The sequence below is a fragment of the Homo sapiens genome, chromosome 3 (assembly GCF_000001405.40).
Source record: "Homo sapiens chromosome 3, GRCh38.p14 Primary Assembly".
Classification (NCBI taxonomy): domain Eukaryota; kingdom Metazoa; phylum Chordata; class Mammalia; order Primates; family Hominidae; genus Homo; species Homo sapiens.
The window spans coordinates 44,198,539-44,206,053 of record NC_000003.12 but is presented as its reverse complement, the minus strand read 5'-3'; the positions used below and the strand labels follow the sequence as shown (position 1 = coordinate 44,206,053).

At 43.8% G+C, this 7,515-nt stretch overlaps 1 annotated feature.

Annotated features, from left to right (window-relative positions):
• Positions 7,094–7,143: an enhancer, noted in NCBI's record as "active region_19761". NCBI's record gives its function as "activates an Ori minimal core promoter by ATAC-STARR-seq in GM12878 lymphoblastoid cells {active_cell/tissue: GM12878}" and the evidence as "EXISTENCE:reporter gene assay evidence [ECO:0000049][PMID:35858748]".

Sequence of the window (7,515 nt, the reverse complement as noted above, 5' to 3'; positions counted from 1 at the left end):
AGTAGAGAGACTCTTGCATCTAAAAATGGGGCTATTCCTAGAAGGGTGTAAGGCCTGGGGCAATTTAACCCATGTAGCCTGCCCAAGATAAGGGCAATAGAAAGGAGGCTGGGCTATTGGCATATTTCATGGAACCTTCAGGCTTTGGTTAGATTTGGAAATTTGAACTGTGATGATCAGAAAAAAAGGAATAAAGTGTAGGACCATGTGGGGCTCCCAGGAACTGCCTTGTTGCCCCTTCAAAGGACAGGCCAGTCTAAAATGGTAATAATTGAATCATTATGGCAACACTACCCAGTCATTTAAATGTTGGCTGTAGCTATGAAGAGGCCAGATAGATCTTATTTTAGTTGATAACAAGTTCCTGGGTTTGTTCTTAACTCAGTTCAGGTGTTGTCTCAGTTCTTTTTTGTGGCTGTAATTTACCCGGCACAAGCCAGGTCTGAGTTCGTCAAGTGCGAGCAGTGCTGAACAAAGGATAATGCTGCCTCAGGTGCCTGTTCTGGTTTGTTAGCCCTTTTTACAAGCTACTTCTTATTAGCCTGGAATACTTCCCTCATTGGTTACCCAGCTTAAGTCATCAATGTAGCCTGCCAAAGCACCAAGAACAAAACGGCACTGTGCATAATGCAAGTCTACCTAGAAGTTCTGTCTACACGTCAAGACCTCACTGGTTGTTTCTTATTCCCTTCCATGATAACTCAATGCTGCCCTGAGGAAAATGTCCAGGGAGGGAACCTCATTGATTTTGACCTGCAAATGTCCTAGTGCTTCCTCCTCAGTGATGGGTTGTCTTATGAGGGTGCACCCAACCTAGGGAAGAGCGGGTGAGCATGAACAGCCAGAGAACTTGATTTTCCCATGTCTGCTTGGGATGTGGATCAAAAGTCTTTAATGCTGAGTTTGGCTTTTGATAAAGAGAATTATTTTTCAGTTTCTGAGCTATAGTTAATTTCCTCACTGTGATTCTTCTATCAGATGGCCAGACACTGATGGTAAAGAACAGGTCATGTGTTCTTGTGACTTGCACTGAATTAACTCAATGCCTTGTGGGAAGTAGGTACTTGAAAACTGTTGGTTAGAAATAAGATGTGGATTCTTTGGCATTTGAAGGTCTTCACCAGCCGGGTGGCTGAAATGCTGGAGAGAAATTGAAATGAAAGGAGCTTAGTAATTTGGTCTATCCTTCCACTCTTCAAATGGTAAGAGTACTTACCCCCACACTCTTACCCCCACAAAATGGTAAGAGTAACACTTTCCCCTTATAGACTATATGGTTAAAACTGAGATATTGAAATTTTCCATAACCAGTTAATGGTAGGGCTGTATGGGAGACTGGACTGATATTAATCATATTGCTTGTCCCATCTAATCCACTTTCCTATGGCAGAGACAGCTGTGGTGAGTTCACCAAATGGGTCAGTGTGTCTACTTCACATCTTCCTTCAGGTGGTTGCTAGCCTGGACCCTGGGAACAGTGATCCTTTTTGGTATTTCCAATACTTAGTGTGGGTGCTCTTGTGTTCTTGAACAATCAGTTGCTTCGTGCACAGATGGAGCTAGCAGGGGCCCAAGTCACCAGTTTATTTTTCCAGTCTTTCCATTTTCGGAAGTAGTCATTTCCTTCTGGCCATTCTCCAGCTGTGGCTCCATCTATCTCTCTTGTCTCCACCTGGAACAGGTTCAGAAAACCCTACAAGACTCTTTTGCAATCCCAGAGACTGTGTTGGTGGAAGTACCCAGGTTGGTCTGTCCTTCCATGTTGATTAAATTGTTGCTTTTGGCAGAAAGCATCTGACCATGTTATTGGTATTGGTCTCCAAGAGCCAGTTGGCACACTTAAAGTTAGAGCATTGAGTGGCACCTCCATGGGGAAATTCACTCTCCCTCCATCTCTTAATTATAACCTTATGAATTATGCATTCCTGAAGACAGTGAAGCATTATGTGTGAGCTGTACAGTTTTTCTCCATCCAATTTTCTGTAATATGGAACTAGTAATGACAGGGGTTCCCACACTTCCTTTTTTATTGGATAGACTCCTTGGTATCTTTTTCTAGATGGCTGTAGCTCTTCAAAAGGCCATTCTGAGTAGCTAGAGTAAGACTATCAGAGGCAGGTTATGGAGGGGAACTCTTTGCTTACTACCTATTCTGTGCCAGTAATATGTTAGATACAGTTTATTTAATTGTTATAACCCTGTCTGAAATGTGTTCTCAGTTAAGGGTCATAGAGATTTGAATCATTCAGACTCAAATTCTTTTCACTGCATTCCTCTAGAACAATGTTTTCCTAAGTAGTGTTATATATCTATTTTTGTATATACATAGTCACTATATTTCTAAAACTAATTATGGGAAGATGTTGGATTACTACTACAGCACATAAAATAGAAGCCAATTTTTACCTTCATCTCCTACTTAAAAGGTACAATGTTAGGGTCTCTGGTTTTAAGGTTGAGTTTATTGGAGATCTGTCCACCAAAGGGTGGACTTAAAGTTCTTAGCTGTGGTTATGTCAATCTTGAAATAGAGTTGCAGGGCCTGTATATTCCATTTAGGTCAAGACTAAGTTGAGTGAACTTTGAGGCTTGGCAAAACTGGAATTGCCCATCTGTGGAGTAGAGAACTGGTAAGTTACTGATACACTGGTTAGCTCAATTCGTTATGCACTGGTTAGCTCATTTACTGAACACATATTTTGTGGGAAAGCCTGGAGCTATGAAATCAAGACCATCTCACCCCTAAGATGCTGAAAGCCTGATGAAAGATGGATTTGTAACCAAGCATACCCCAGAAGTAGGTTGCATATTCACCTCTTCCTTTGTTCTCTTTCCCCCTTATTCCTCTCTTCTGCCAGTAGCACCCACACCACTTCTTTGGTTCCACAGGAAACCTCCAGGATAAAGACACTTGCTGAGTGGAAGTGCTCACATACCAGCAGTTACTGTGTCCTGGAGGATGCCCTCAGTGAGATCTGGCAGCCAATGCCAGAGAATACAAAGTCATGTTCCTTTCTCCCATCCAGTGGGCAGGCTGCTATATTTCATGGCTAGTCAGCAATCTAGTCACTTTATCAGCAGTTTGCCTATGACTCCCTTAGATATTATCGGAATTTATAGAACATGAGACTACATTTTGAGAACTTAAAAGGTAGGCCGGGCATGGTGGCTAACGCCTGTAATCCCAGCATTTTGGGAGGCCGAGGTGGGTGGGTCACCTGAGGTCAGGAGTTTGAGACCAGCCTGGCCAACATGGTGAAACTCCGTCTCTACTAAAAATACAAAAATTAGCCTGGCGTGGTGATGGGCACCTGTAATCCCAGCTACTCGGGAGGTTGACCAAGAGAATTACTTGAACCTGGGAGGCGGAGGTTGCAGTGAGCCAAGTTCATGCCACTGTACTCCAGCCTGGGTGACGAGTGAAACTCCGTCTCCAAAAAAAAAAAAAAAAAAAAGTATTTAGGCATCTGTCAATGACTGAAATTTTATTTCATTTCATACCATCAGATTGTTTCATCTTTGGGGGTTTTGGATCTTTTCAATGCTCTTACAAATATGAATCACCTCTTCAGCAAATAAAACATGTGTGGATATTTTGTGTATACTGTTGACCACCATGGCCCTTGCCTTCCACTATATGACGAGACTAAGAAATGGATTAGAATAAGCATCCTTGTATCTGGTCGTCTTTCTTGGTTCCTCAATTCTGCAATCCTAGGAAAACAACCCCAGGGCCACAGTGAGATAGCACGGGTCTCATTATTCTAAAGACAGTGAAAATGACTTTTAATCTAGGAAACAACAGAACTGTTTCTTCTAAATTCTTGAGGAGGCCTTTCATTCAACAGATATGTTTATCCACCTGGAGCAAAGTCTATAGGAGTTAAGTAGTAGCAAATGTGGGAATACTGCTTGGCTTATGAATAAGCTAGGTGATTCCTGTCAAGTCCAGATGAACAATGTGAGCTATTGGCCTCTCATGAAAAATCAACTGTAGACAAGAAAGAAGGAGGAGTGTCATCTGGGAACTTAAACAATTGAAGCCTCTGGTGAGAGGCAACCCCAGCTGCAAGTGTAGGGTGTCTGAGGGAGGTTATGAGAATAAAGCTCTTTGGTTCTGTTCATGCCTCTCCACCATATTGCCCTAAGACAGTCACTGCCTGCTCCTTCCATGTTAGAATGGAGAAGAAAAACCCAGCTCCCAGTGAGGGCCAGGTAACATCAAGGTAGCAGCAAAATAGGAAAAAAAAGCCCTACTGCTGTGAGGAGTTGAGGAAATAAGGAGGGGGCTGCCCAGTTACCCACAGGCAGTTCTGGGTCTACCCTTCCACCCCTAAGCCCCAGGGATAAGGGCATTACGGTAGCTCATCCCAAGGCTGCATCCTAGAGTTGAAAGATAGGAATTTCCTGGTGGAGAGATGGAAGGCAGTTCTCTGGAGCCTGTGGTTCAACTCCTGCCCACCCCTTAGGCTCACCAGGACTGAGACAGAGGAGAGCCTGATTGCAGCCATTCTCAGGTCCTATTACCAGGCAGAGGAGCTCAGAGCCCCAAGGAATAGCTCACAGGCTCAGTAACTAGACACTTGAAGAGTGCCGCAAACTGAACAGTAGACCCTCTGAAACAAGGATTGGACCAGATGCAACAAGGACTTACAGGGATGATCAAGAAACTTGAAATGAGGAATGGTGTTGGCAGCATGAAACAAGAAATCAAAAGACCAAGTATGAGAAGAATACAAATGAAGAATATATATATGTATATATAGGATAAACAGTAGTAGACAAAGCAGAATAAATCGGTGAGGTGGAAGATCAAATGAAGGAAACAGAAAAGTATAAAGCAAGCAGGAAAAAAGATATGAAAGACGGCTTTGTCTAGGAGACCAAAGGGAAAGGTGGAGACTAGCTAATTAGAGGTGACCAGGCTTAGGGTCACATGGTCATCCACAGAGGCACTGTTTGGCTTGAACTCAATTTAGAGAAATTGAGACCAAAATTATAAAATAAAATTTAATCCCCTCTTGGAGGAAAAAGGAAAATCAACATACTTCTATTAAAGCCAGCTTTCTTCTTCCTGCTTCATCCACTGTCTAGCTGGGTATGTGATATACTTGACCTTGGAAGTATGCATGCTTGACTATGCATATCCCTCATCCAGAACAGATAATGTCTCTTTGAAGTTATTGAACTATATAAAAAAGCTATGTTAAATGACATCCTTAAAATCACAGTGAGCCATGTACAATGTCAAAGACTGCCGAAGGAATACTGCAATCCAACAAACAGCTTCCATGGTTCAAGATTGACTGGTGATGGAGTAAGGAAAGCCTTGTGGTTTCCAGTGAGCAATAGCTTAGGTCACCCCCTAACTTAGGCACTTCTTTAGTAGAAAGTGTGACTTTTTATGAAGATAAGGGTAACCAAATCTGCTGGCCACCCTGGGCAACTGTGTTGTGGTGGTGGTAGTGGTTGTTTAAAATCCTGAGTTGCCTGTCAGATGTCTGTAGTCTTCTGTTGTCAATGTATTTTACATGCCTGTCATCTTCTGCTTGTAGCTATATCTGCCCAGGGGCAGCCCTGATGTACCTTCTCCCGTTTGGAGAAGGGAGACAGTCAAGCTTGAACTACCTGAAAGGCTTCTATCAGCCTTTCCTCAATGAGCAATGCCCTCTTCTCTGCAAATTGTGATCAGCTGTGCATGCAGCAAGATGAACAAATGGTTTTGACCAAGCTGGCCAGTTGGTCACTTTAATAAAGTGAGATGTGAACTCACTTTATTAAAATTCAAGGACACTGGTTTTCCTTACTAGGAATCCGGGACTTTCATATGGTGGTGGGTGTGGGATGGGGGGGTGGGGGGTAAGGGGGGAAGGGGTGCGGCAGGCACGAGGGTATGGGCAGCAGGTGGGCTGGTGGCGGGGGAGGTGGGAGGCCTGTATTTGGATTTCCCTTCTCTGATCTTTGGAAATTGCTCTTTGTGGCATGAAATGCTTTTCTTTGTGTCTGTTCTTGACATGCTGAATTACTTTGAACGAAAGTAGTGGCAAGCCCATCTCCCCTAGGGCAAAGATGAAAACATGTATATGAGGAGGCATGTTGACATGTATATGACATGTGTTCACATGTCACTTCCCCCAGTGCTGGAAGGAAGGGGCTGAAAAAGGAGCTGGAGGGAAAATCCCTATGCCCCTGTTTCCAGATGACCTGCAGTGTCAATATGAGGCAGTATTAATCTTTTGTTCATAGGAATAATCTTTAGGGGTTAATGAGCACCCAAGATCAAATGTAAGATTTCATGAGCACACTTGTTTGAGACGGGGTCTCACTCTATTGCCCAGGCTGGAGTGCAGTGGTGTGATTATGACTCACTGCAGCCTCAACCTCTTGGGCTCATGTGATCCACCCATCTTCCCAAGACTACAGGCACGCATCACCAGGCCTGTCTAATTTTTGTATTTTTTTTGTAGAGACAGGGTTTCACCACATTGCCTAGGCTGGTCTTGAACTACTGGGCTCAAGCGATCTGCCCCCCTCGGCCTCCCAAAGTGCTGGGATTACTGGCATGAGCCACTGCACCCAGCTCATGCGCACTTTTCTAGGGAGCTCATATGTTTTACCAGATTCCCAAAGGTGTTATGTGAAACCAAAAAAATTGTTAAAAAAGCAATTCTGATGGGAGGTCATGGAAAGAATAATGGTCCTAAAAATAAAGGAAAGAATGGAAGTCTTCTACTTAACAGACTATTTGCCCTTGTCCAGTAGAAATGCCACTGCCCCTGCCCCTGCCTTTGGCCACCTACCTTTGTGGGTCACTGAGGTCGGGCAGCCTGACAGGCCTAGATGGACTGGCTTAACTCTAAGGAGTGGCGAGTGAGTTTTTAAATGTAGGAATGTCATTGGTTCTAACACTGGTTGGTGTAGATCTGAGTGCTTGCTCTACACCAGGCATGGTGGTTAGTGCTGCCAGTGTGAGTCACTTTTATCTTCACAATAACCTTAGGGATAGATGGTATTATCCTCATCCACGATGATGAAAGGTATCAGAATTCAATCAAATGAAAGCAGAATGCACTGCCATTATTAAAGTCCGGTGGGCGTTCTGCTCTTCAGAGAGGGTGTAGAATGCAAAAGAAGTTCCAGGCTGCATAAGCGACTCCTTCTTCCTCTCCAGTGAGTTTGAAGCGGGGGCGGGGAAAGAGCTTTGAGTTCTCCTCTGCCGTCACTAGATGGCGGTGTGTCAAAGGCTATTTCCTACCAGGATGCTAACCTCCAAGGAATGCACCTGTTTTGTTCTGGGGTGTTAAAATTTTTTTTTGCCTGAGTTTGAAAGAAGAGTTGTAGGAATGAGGTAGGAAACTCTCCTAATCTATCCCTCCCACGCATCCCCACCTTTCCCCAGAACACTTTAAACCGAATGTTTCATATTTGGCTAAATAGTGCATCTCTTAAATAATGCATCCTACCTGCCTCTGTCCCCTGGAGTAATTCTGCATTTCCATCTGCAGAGCGTCTGCA